Source organism: Homo sapiens, chromosome 10 (genome assembly GCF_000001405.40).
Source record: "Homo sapiens chromosome 10, GRCh38.p14 Primary Assembly".
Taxonomy (NCBI): domain Eukaryota; kingdom Metazoa; phylum Chordata; class Mammalia; order Primates; family Hominidae; genus Homo; species Homo sapiens.
In genome coordinates this window covers 27733340-27744445 of record NC_000010.11, presented here as the reverse complement: position 1 = coordinate 27744445, position 11106 = coordinate 27733340, and the positions used below count along the sequence as shown (strand labels likewise).

General features: G+C 43.1%; 1 protein-coding gene across 9 annotated transcripts in view, besides 4 other annotated features; it reads left to right on the top strand.

Moving 5' to 3' along the window:
• Positions 1 to 11106, top strand: part of MKX (mohawk homeobox) — a 72946-nt gene that overhangs the window by 1374 nt on the left and 60466 nt on the right. For 7 of the 9 annotated variants that reach the window (XM_017016108.2, NM_173576.3, XM_047425119.1 and 4 more), the window contains exons 2-5: positions 949 to 1218; positions 2942 to 3101; positions 9072 to 9225; positions 9655 to 9990. In XM_017016108.2, coding sequence (XP_016871597.1) covers positions 1031 to 1218; positions 2942 to 3101; positions 9072 to 9225; positions 9655 to 9990 — 838 coding nt within the window. In that variant the 5' untranslated portion in view covers positions 949 to 1030. Of the gene's footprint in view, positions 1 to 53; positions 426 to 948; positions 1219 to 2941; positions 3102 to 9071; positions 9226 to 9654; positions 9991 to 11106 lie in introns of those variants that run through there. The other 2 variants (XM_017016106.2, NM_001242702.2) reach the window with 2 other exon arrangements.
• Positions 1487 to 1556: an enhancer, noted in NCBI's record as "active region_3189". NCBI's record gives its function as "activates an Ori minimal core promoter by ATAC-STARR-seq in GM12878 lymphoblastoid cells {active_cell/tissue: GM12878}" and the evidence as "EXISTENCE:reporter gene assay evidence [ECO:0000049][PMID:35858748]".
• Positions 1837 to 1956: a silencer, noted in NCBI's record as "silent region_2248". NCBI's record gives its function as "represses an Ori minimal core promoter by ATAC-STARR-seq in GM12878 lymphoblastoid cells {active_cell/tissue: GM12878}" and the evidence as "EXISTENCE:reporter gene assay evidence [ECO:0000049][PMID:35858748]".
• Positions 2027 to 2246: a silencer, noted in NCBI's record as "silent region_2247". NCBI's record gives its function as "represses an Ori minimal core promoter by ATAC-STARR-seq in GM12878 lymphoblastoid cells {active_cell/tissue: GM12878}" and the evidence as "EXISTENCE:reporter gene assay evidence [ECO:0000049][PMID:35858748]".
• Positions 9144 to 10343: an enhancer, noted in NCBI's record as "CDK7 strongly-dependent group 2 enhancer chr10:28023032-28024231 (GRCh37/hg19 assembly coordinates)". NCBI's record gives its function as "activates an origin of replication core promoter dependent on BRD2, BRD4, P300/CBP, MED14 and CDK7 cofactors, with strong dependence on CDK7, by STARR-seq in HCT116 cells {active_cell/tissue: HCT116}" and the evidence as "EXISTENCE:reporter gene assay evidence [ECO:0000049][PMID:35650434]".

Below are 11106 nucleotides of genomic sequence, written 5' to 3'. Positions count from 1 at the left end.
CCCCGACAGTGGCAGCAGTGGCCCGGGAGGTGCGCCGACCAAGCTGCCTCCTGCCTTGGGCTTCTGACACCTTTACAGCCTCTGAAAGGGTCCCCGGAGACCCCAGAGAGAGGCGGGTGTCGAGGGGCTACGAGCTCGCGGCTGACACCCGCGCTGCGGAAGAGAATGGCACTGATTGAGGGCTCTGGGGACCTGGGTCCTGGCGCCTTGGACCTTAGGACCATGCACTTCCCGGGGCGCGTTGGGGGATGATAGGAAGATTCTGGGAGAGAAGGGGGAGAAGTGGTGCTTTCGTCCTGACGCCACTTAACTTTTTCCTGTCCTTGAACCCAACCTCACCCCGGGGGACCTTGGCGGACAGAAGATGCGGGGGTTTCAACCAAACCATCCACGATCTAGAAAACACGAAAATCCCCCAAATCCCGGTATGGCCTGGGACTCATGAGCTGGGGGGTCTTGTGGATACGGTTGGCACATTACCCCAAATCTTCCCTTCCATCCAACCCCTCCTGACGCCCCGAGTTGGGGTTCCTAGAGGCTTTAGTCTTCTGCTGTGATTGAAGAACCACGCGCGGCCTCACGCCGGTCGCGCTCCGCAGTCCGGAGTATGCCTCTCCCAGATTCAAACTGAAACCCAGAGGCTCGTTTGGGAATTCGTTTCCTTTGCCTCTGCGGGTGAATGATTCCCGGTTGTAGTTCTGGGGAGTGAAGGGATTGGGGGGATCGATCGCCCAGGCAAGGAAGAGGGCAGGTACCTGTCCGGGGAACCTGCAGGGGCGGGGGCGTGTAGCCAACTGGGGAGAGCCGCAGGGTCCCTGCCAGTTGCGGCGGCGCCGCTCCTCCCCTCGGCTCCGCAGCCCGGCGACCCGGCCAAGTTCAAGGCCCTGAACCTGCAGGGGTCTGAGCACTCTCAGCCAGTAAGTAACGAGATGCACCTTCCTCTCCTAGAAGCCGAGCCCCGCTGCGGAGCTCCCGGCGGCCCAGCCCCGAGGCTCTGCGGCCGCGCCGCGCGTCCCTACCAACCGACACCATGAACACCATCGTCTTCAACAAGCTCAGCGGTGCGGTGCTGTTTGAGGACGGAGGCGCCTCGGAGCGGGAGCGGGGTGGCCGGCCCTACAGCGGTGTCCTGGACAGTCCTCACGCCCGCCCCGAGGTGGGCATTCCCGACGGCCCGCCCCTCAAGGACAACCTCGGCCTGAGACACCGGAGGACCGGGTATGCGCACTCCCCTGGGGGCCCTGCCCGCCTGCGGCCCGGAGGGGTGGGGGTGGTGAGCTGTGACGGGGTCCCGTGGCAACGCGGGCGGGTGGACGGGAAAGGGCCCGGAGTTCCCTGGGAGTGCAGGTCTGCCCCTCCAGGGCTCGCGCATTCTCATGTTAAGGGGCTCCTATCTTAAAACATGAGGGATCAATTCGTCGGGGCAGCTCCAAAGAGCTTGGTGGAGACTAAGGGCGCCAGGAGCTGCCCCTCGGCCCTCCGCTGCCTGGACCTCGGAGTTGGGGGTTATTTGCCCCTCTCCGGACTGTGGGTGCCGGTGCGCGGCTGAGGGCGAGGAAAAAGGACTGAGCTCGGTGCAGAGAAACAGGCGAAGCCGAGCAGTCGGGGAGTCCAGGCTCAGGCTCCGCGGACTTCTCTTCGGTCACTCGAGCCCCTCGCCAGAGCCCCGCGGCTCGCCTGGCCCAAGGAGTCGGGAAGGTCGCCTCCCGCCAGGGAGTCCCGGGCGTGAGCGCGGCTCGGCTGGGCCCGCGGCGAACCCGGAGGGGGAGGCCCCGGGCCTGCGGGGCCGGGTTTGAGTTTAGCGGGGTGAGGGGTATGCTGGGGGGGGCGGTAGCTTGCGGGTGGGCCAGCTGCTCAGACTGCCGGTGAGTGGAGGGCAGGCTCTGCCTGGCCCGATCCGGCGGCTCCCCGGGCGCCCCGCCGGGGAGGGGCGGCCGTCCTAGCCGCCTCCACCTGAACGATTGCATCAGCTGCTTGTTCTGCGGCGTCGCTGCTTAGTAAAACAGAGATTCGGTTTCGTCAAAATGTTACTACCAGTCGTTTCGGGTGGAATTGCATTTCAAAGTGTTTAAAGAGGCAGAAACCCAGGAGGCTCCGGCGCAGGCGCGCAAGCCTCGGGGAGCGGCTGGGCTCGCTGGCGGCCGCGCGCGACACCTCCCGGACCCGTGAGGGAGCGCAGCGCCCCAGGCCACGCTCCAGGCTCCTGGCTGCCTCTGCCTCCTCCCCCTTTGAATGTGCTTTTCCTGAGGTCTTTTTACCTTACATGATGGGACAGAGCTTGCCGTACTTTTAACCCTCCCTTAGTCGGGAAACGGCCCGACGGTGTTTTTGGGTTCTGCAGCTTTCCTCCACAAACCACCAACTCCTTTAGAAAGTTTCCCCCTTTTCCTAAAAGATCAAAGGAAATAGCTTAAAGAGAGCCGGGGCGGCAATGCTCCTTTGCTTTATTCCCTATGTCCAGTCGGCGACCTTTCCCCTGACCACAAGCGACGGAAAGCCTCTGGGAGCAGACAAGAGATCCCCGAGGGAAGTTTCGAGAGCCAGCCGCATACCCTGCCAGGCCTGCCAGGCCAGGGCCACTCGAGGGTGCGGCGCCAGCGGGTGAGGGAAGGGTAGCAGTTAGCCCCGCTGCCCAGATACGCGACTGGAATAGCAGTATTCTTCAAATCACTTGACCTTCGTCTTCTAAACCTCTAACCTTGGGGTATTGGGTTCAAGGTATCCCCCTATTCAAGATAAACCTATCGAAATGATCTCCCCATCCAGAAACTGTGTGGCTCCCACTTCCTGCCTCTCCCAAACACTCTGGGCGCGCGCAAAGCAGGGGCGCAAGGCAGGAATGCGCAGTTTGGATGCGGGGCCCGGGCTTGGCCGGGGCGTGGAGCGTCCGGGCGGGCAAACGCGTCGCTCACCAGGGCCGCCTCCTCTCCCCATGTCCCAGCGCCCGGCAGAATGGCGGGAAGGTGAGGCACAAGCGGCAGGCCCTGCAAGACATGGCGCGACCCCTCAAGCAGTGGCTTTACAAGCACCGTGACAACCCGTACCCCACCAAGACCGAGAAGATACTCTTGGCCCTCGGCTCGCAGATGACGCTAGTGCAGGTAATCAGGACCCATTAACACCCTGATCCGTTTTCCCGCGAGGGGCTGAAGAGCGGGAACGCTTAGAGTTCGTGTGGCTCTCCACGTGGCGCTTCTACCTGGAGAGGGATGGAGCCGAGCTGTGGGAGTTTCTGAATTACCTCTCACCCTCATCCCTCAGTTCAGTGCAGATGCTCCGTGCAGGAAAGAATGCAGGATGCGCTGTCAGGTAGGGAAGTGAAAAGTAAACTGCAGACTTACGAGAAGGTTCAACATTAGTGAGCATCAGAATCGCCTGGAGAGCTTAAAACACGAATCGCTAGGCCCCACCTCCGAGTTTCGGATTCAGCAGGTCTGGGGTGAGACCATCATTTGCATCTCTTACAAGGCCCCAGGTGTTACTGAAGCAGAGGCTAGGGAGGAACCCCACTTTGAGAACCACGCAGTGTGACGCTCCATATTAAGGCCCAGTATTAAAGCTCAGGTACAGAGTAACTTTCAAAATTACCATTACTGACAGCTAGGAGTAGGGGATAGAAAGACAAGAAATGATGTTTGGATCAACAACCCCCCACACACACTTATTTATTATTATTTTTTAATAGGAAGCATCCTAAACATTAGCTGCAATCCACAGCATTTTGCTCCTGATGCTTTTCTGCTGGGCTTAAGGAGAGGAGGCAGATTTCAGATGGTTGGGTTACTTTGCCAAGTGTAGAGAAATGGTGCAAAGTTTGTGTGTTCTCTGGTGAACAACGTTACTTTACATTTGACTAGCTTTTCAAAACTGAATCTTACTGTTCACAAAACCACGATGTTGTAGGCAGTTACTATCAGAATTTTACACTTGACATAATCAAGACTTGGGGCAGTTGTGTCAGTAAAAGACAGGCCTGGAAATAAATAATTCCAGACCAAATGCTCTTCCCGTCATGTCACAATTTTTTAAAATAAATACGGTGGCTTGAACTTTTTTACATGCAAATAGGCAAATTTATTCAGAAAGAAGAGGAGGAGGGGCTACATCAGGTGAAAAGTTTTGCACATTGCGGTAGCATTACCTGATTGTGAAAATTTGGCCATTCCGCTAAATTTACAGTAAGCAGGAACTCCAAAAAGGAAAAAGGAACTAGTGGATAAAATAAAGATTGCTTTCCAGAGTATTTAAAATTTCCCTTTAGGAATTACTGGAAAGTTTGACAAGGCATGAAAGTTGACTTATTGTCAGGCTATCAATACTAGAATACGTAATTTCTGCTTATTTTCAGAATATAATTATATACAAAAACATCTGTTTTCTTTCATATTATCAGGCAATGGTATTAATAGTGATTTGCTGCAGCAGTGGAGGGGAAAATTAATTTAGTGTTCTTGGCTTAATATCTGTTTAACATAAAACTATGAATCTTTTAGCAATGTACCAAAGTAGTTTTGAAATAAATTATTCCAGTCAGAAAAACCTGACTTATGAAAATAAATAACCTATGTTAAAATTTCAGTTTAAATAAGTATGCTACTTATTTTTAAAATACACTAATTTATAGAGTTATCTGAATATTTCACAGTGATGTCAGCAATGAAACACTAGGTTATTTTGGCTGATTATAGAGCTTCATATTTAATAGAGACTATTCTTTCATACAGAAAACAAAAGAACATTGATGACATATTTTAGGACATTTTTAAATTATGAAGTAGCATTTGTCATTAGGAGAGCCATTTAAACTTTCTTATGTAGTGGTTTTTGTTGAGCTGCAATACAAGTAGTTATAATTTTAAATTATTTGCCACCTGTAATGATAGTTCAAATACAAATAAAAATGCTTTTTACATTTAGATCTTGGTAAGGCTATTACATTTTTAAAATATGCTTTACATGAAATTTTCATTCAAAACACTTTTTTTCTCTTACACTAGTGCTCAGAAAATAAAAATGCACAGAAATATGTAATTTTAAGTGGGGTAAGATAATTTTTATAATAATAAATGACAACTGTATAATGATTTCAAATTTTATTATTAATGAAGCTAGTTTCTGAAACTTTAAAGTGATAAATGGAAAAAATAAAAATGTATAGAATTACCAACGGATCTTATGGCTGATCCTATGGCTGATCATTGTTCAAATGCTATAGAAATACACTCTGTACTCTCAAAATATAAACAGCTTTATTGTGGAATAGTATAAAATGGTATGTGATTGGGGTTTGTATTATTGCAGGATATGGAACTTATCAAGGAGTAATGAGTAGATGTTAATGCTTCCTCCTCTAATAATGAAAGTCTCATATTCCTGTGATATGTCCACATACGATTTGTTAAAACTGCTATGTTCCTAGATTCTGTCTCCTCTGTTGACATAACTCTGTTTTTGCTTGGTATTGAGTGTGCCTGCTGATATATATATGCCATTATCAGCTACAAGGCTTATAGTAACGTTAAATATTCAACAAAATCTCAGATCAGTCCTTATTCATTATTCCAAGTGTTATATTACATGGTGTGGAAATGAAGTGCTCAATATTTCAGTTGAATAGCTCAGAAGTTCGTTAATTCAGTGTGTTCAAACATGGACAGATGCCAGTTTATCCCTTTGGGTGTACTATAACAATTGCTCTGTCAACATGATGAATGTAAACACCTTTGTTAAAGTAGGATGAATATTATTTAGTTTTCCCTCCCAGCTTCTAGATGTTTGGCCTTCTAATCTTTCACTATAAAATATGGGAGATAGATAGATAGATACTGATATAAATCATAATTATATAAATTAGTCATATCTAACTATCTCCCATATTTTATAGTGAAAGCTTAGAGGCCCAAACATCTATACGTATATACACATATAGCATTCAGTTTGACATTAAAATTCTGTTCCAGAACCTATCCTTGGTTAAGGAGACCTGTTTCATGTAAAATACAATTTGAAGAGAATATGAACGACAACCCGAAGGAATCCATAGTAGATTAAAAGTGGAAAATTTGAACCGATATTTTTACCTTCAGTGAAACAGATGGAATTTGCATTAATTCATCCAGAAAGAAATGCAAAACAAGTATATGCAAATTTGTTAACTAACTATTTGCTGTTTGCAGGACCTACTGCAAATACACATTAAAGACCTTGGAGTGTATCTAGCTGTTAAGTTGTACTGAAAAAACAAAAGAACAAAAAACCCCAGCAGAATATATATATTACCAGATTGGGTGGTGGTCAATTTATGAAATCAGTTTTGAAACAGTCTATAATAGACATCAGCAAACCTTTCTGGAAAATCACCTAATGTGTAACTATTATAATATGGTTAAAAAAAAGACTATGAGTATATAAAACTTAAAAGAGATATGACTCCTATACATGAAAAGTTAGTTAATCCCCTGTGACATTTAAATCATTTAAATGTTCCCCCATTTTTATCTGTTAGAAGGGTAGTGTATTACTTTTTTAAAAAATTAGAAGGCCATTGCATTTTCATTATAAGAAGAGTTTCATAAGAATTGGATTTTACACTGTACTATGTGTGGTTGCTGTGTGAAGATTTAAGGTTAGTTAAGATTTAAGGTTAGTCTGAATTATATCCCATTGAGTAAAGAAAGTTACAAAAATGTTTTGGAGTTGGATTCTAGTAAATATGAATGATCTAGGGGAAGTTGCAGGCTGTACTCTGTGTGTGAAAGGAGCAAAGAAGGACAAAAACACTCTTGCTGGAGACAGTACTGGTCAACAGAGGGAGGTTAGTACCTAGTATAAAGGAAATTAACATTGCTGTAGGGGAACTTGGGATGTATTCACCCATCTTAATTTTTAGAGCTAGCAAGGATATTAGGAACCATCAAATCCATTTTAGAGATGAAGGATTCAAAGTTCAGAAAAGTTGAATAATTTATCCAAATTCACACAGCATGTTTTTGGCAAATTCAGAACAGGAAGCCAGGCCCTCTTCCACTGTATGGTGATTATGGGATAACAGGACATTTATGAGGATTTGAAGAAGTGAAGTGACTAAATCAAAATGGTGCATCAATTCTTGAATTTGATGATACTTGCTAAGATCCATTTAAGAGAACAGAATGGAAGACAGGGAAGTTAGAAAGAGAAATGTTTTCAAATTCCCAGCTAGTAGTATGGCTGGATAAAGTAGTCGGATGAAGATTTTGGCAGTGAGTTGAAGAATCCAAGGGAGTTTGAGAAATTTCATGAAGAAAGGGATCAGGCTCCTTGTGCTTCCACAGCTAATGTTCACCAGTGTATCCCAGTTAATTATGTGTAGTTCTTTTCCGCTAGTCCTTCTGGGAGTGCAGAAGACAAAGCTTATTCATTCCTAGGACTTAACACCATGGCTAAAGTACAATAGTCACTCAATAATTTTGTTGTCTGTCTGTAGAGAATGGGAAGGACTGAGAATTTGAAGTCAGACTGAATCTTAGTAATAGTAACATAGCTTAGCAGGAAGAAGCATTGGTGAAGACTGACTTCTGAAATGCCACAGTGAGATAATATGTCATTGCATATAAATTTGAAAGGATAACTATCATTGCTTCAGGTACAAAGAAGACAATATTAACTATATTGAATATTAAATACATATGGGAAACCCACCGTGTGTTTACCCATGAGGACAGGGAGAAAAAGTATAATTTGAGATTTTTTTTTAAGTAGAATAATAAGGACTTGAGTAATGCACAAAAAATGTGTATTTATAGTATAAATCTAGAAAAAAAAAAGTAGAAATTTCCAGTGCAAACATTGCCACACAAACCATTATAGTAATCTGGCCTTTCTTCAAAGCCTAGCTTAAATTCCTCAGTTTGGTCATGTTCTGGACCAAACTGGCAGAAAGATTTAATTCTCTTCCCATGTTTCATTCTTTTAAAGGCAAGTATTGCCCTTTTGAGTTTCTAAAAATCTATGCACTGATGATAACCTGGTATTTTAGAAGAAATTTCAAGTATCAAATCCAGTAACATCTTTAAAAAAAAAAGAATGGAAGTAGCTTTTCTTTGTCTTGACATATTTCTTTCTTTGCCTTCACCTATTTGTCTAAGAAACATTTGACTTTTGGCTTAAAGTGAGGAGTTCTTTGGTTTATTTTCCCCCTCTTCACCCATGGTTCTACCTCTGTTTTGCTAACGCCTCTTTTGGAAGCGAACAGATCCCACTTTTTTCATCTCTAATGGTTTCCAAAGCTTGGCCCTTGACCCTGCTTTCACTCTCTCTACTCTTGCAACTTTGACTATTACCTCTGTGCCTTTTCCTCTTGAATTTGCTCATCCCCTCCCTTCAATCTCAGATACCACTTTTATTTTCTTACCAGACATGTCACCAGTATTAGCACCTCAAACTAGACATTGCCCAAGCCAAACACATCATTTTATCCTCAGAAAGTTTCATCTCCTTCCCCAAATGCACTACCCTTCTCTTGGTTCCACAGGTTTGATGACTCAAGGTCATCTTTAACTCTTCCCTCTTCTTCAACCCCTACAATTTCTGTGGAATTTCACTTCTATTTGTTCCTGTGTCCTCTTTATTGGGAATGCACTTCCCTTCCCTCTTGACCTGACCTATTCTGGACTTTCTTCAAAGGCTCACTTAACTTCCTCAAAAAGGCTGGAGTCATATATGAAAGTAACCCCTCTTTCCTTTGGACTCGTATCATTTTAATGTCTTGTATGCCATTCATCACATTCTTTCTTATACTAGTTATTTGTATACCCTCCTACTTCTCTTACTGGACTTTTCTCTTATTAAATTTTTTGATGTCAAGGCCTTTTCATTTTTCCTTATTCCACAAATACACTAAATGCTCAGTGTCTGTAGTAAGCAACATGTTTGTCAAATGAATGAATGGATGCGAATGTCCGGTATTCTTATGTCCTGAGAATATTTAATGATCAGAGGTGCTGAGAGAGGCTTAGCTCCTTTATGAGAAAATAATCGCACCATGGATAATGTTTTTAAGTTTTGTTAATTGAAAAATAATACTGTTTTAGGTGTCAAATTGGTTTGCTAATGCAAGACGTCGGCTTAAGAATACCGTTCGACAGCCAGATTTAAGCTGGGCTTTGAGAATAAAGTTATACAACAAGTATGTTCAAGGCAATGCTGAACGGCTTAGCGTAAGCAGTGATGACTCATGTTCTGAAGGTTTGTTAATATTTTTATTTTGCTTTCTTTGTTTTGCCTCTATTAGCAAGTTCACCATAATTGCTATTTTTAAGGTTGCTCTCACAAAATATGATGGTGCCTTAACGGTTCTTTTTTATTGCATGAAGTAACTTCATTTTTATAATACTATAAATGACCAAAGGAATGATGGCCATTTCCTCTTGTTTATAGATATACCATGTGTCAGAATAACATATTCAGTGAAATTCATTAAAATTAAAATACCATAAGCGAGAGATGACATAAATATTTGCTTTCATTGCCTAAAAATTGATCTTGACTATCAAAGATAATTTTATATACTTTAAATATATTTCCTTTATATATTTTTAAGGATTAAATATAAGAGTTGGGTGGCTGGGGGAAAGTATGCATACCACCCTACTTAGTGATACTGTTCCACTTTAGATGGAGAAAATCCTCCAAGAACCCACATGAACGAAGGGGGCTATAATACCCCAGTTCACCATCCTGTGATTAAAAGTGAGAATTCGGTCATCAAAGCGGGAGTGAGGCCAGAGTCACGGGCCAGTGAGGACTACGTGGCACCCCCCAAATACAAGAGCAGCTTGTTGAACCGTTACCTTAATGACTCTTTGAGACATGTCATGGCCACGAACACTACCATGATGGGAAAAACAAGGCAAAGAAACCACTCGGGATCTTTTAGCTCCAATGAATTTGAGGAAGAATTAGTGTCTCCATCGTCATCAGAAACTGAAGGCAACTTTGTCTATCGCACAGGTAAGTCCGTGCTTTCTGTAGTAATTCCTGCGATACCTGTTTAAAGCACAATTAAAACTGCATCAGAGGGATTTATTTTAACAGGTATAAAGACATCAGATTATTCACATATTGCCCATAATTCAGTTTTAAAGCTTTCGTTTTGTTTAGAATTGCCAATGGATACATTTGTTAGTAGATTATGGTCTTACTGAGAAATTTTCAGTTTTCATATTAAAGACAGGAAGTTTTATTCTTTTTATATTTTTTAATTTTAATTTTTTAATATTTTCATTTTGTTTTTATACAAAAATTAACTCAAGATGGAAGAATTTTCATTCTTTATAATAATTTTAATCTTCAGAATAACAATGTTTAGGGGGGTGTATACTGGCTTTTATGAATAATTTATAATAGAGGATAGTGCCGGATTGTGGCCAGTCCTGCAAATACTTTGTATTTTATCTTTTCTGTTAAATGCTTTGATTGCTAAATAGTGATGGTAAATGAAAACAAATTAATAGGGTGTCAAGCTTTTGTGAAAGAAAGGTATAGGTCTGGCTTCCATTGCTCTGGAAATTTTACTCTCATTCCTGAAAAGCATAAGCAGGGATGAAAAATAGCTTTTAAAATTTTACTTTCCTTCCAGAAATAAAGGATCGATTCCTACCTGTCCAAAACTTTCAGATGGAGTAGTAGGTTTGGTAAAAATTTCTATCTTGACTTCAGTTCCCAGAGAGGTTTGCTCTTAAGAAGTGTATGAGGTGACTTTGGAACAAGGAATATGCATGACCAACATCTGGTGTAGACAGAGTCTGGGTCCTGAAAATGTCAGCAAATGAGATTTAGAATATTAGAGCTGGAAATAACCTCAGAAAACATCTAGACCAGGCACATTACATCACAGATAAGAAAACCCAGACCAAGAACACATAGTAGGTACTCTCCTCCAGATCTCTGAATCTGCACAAGAGATAGGAAGAACATCACTACTATAATCACTATTATTATCCCTACTACTACCAATCATGTATAGAGTAGTTATGGTATACTAGGCCCTATGATATAAACTATACACATTTTACTACATCTTTTCTTCATAATATCAAGAAGCTTGGTCCATGAACAGTAGGGCTT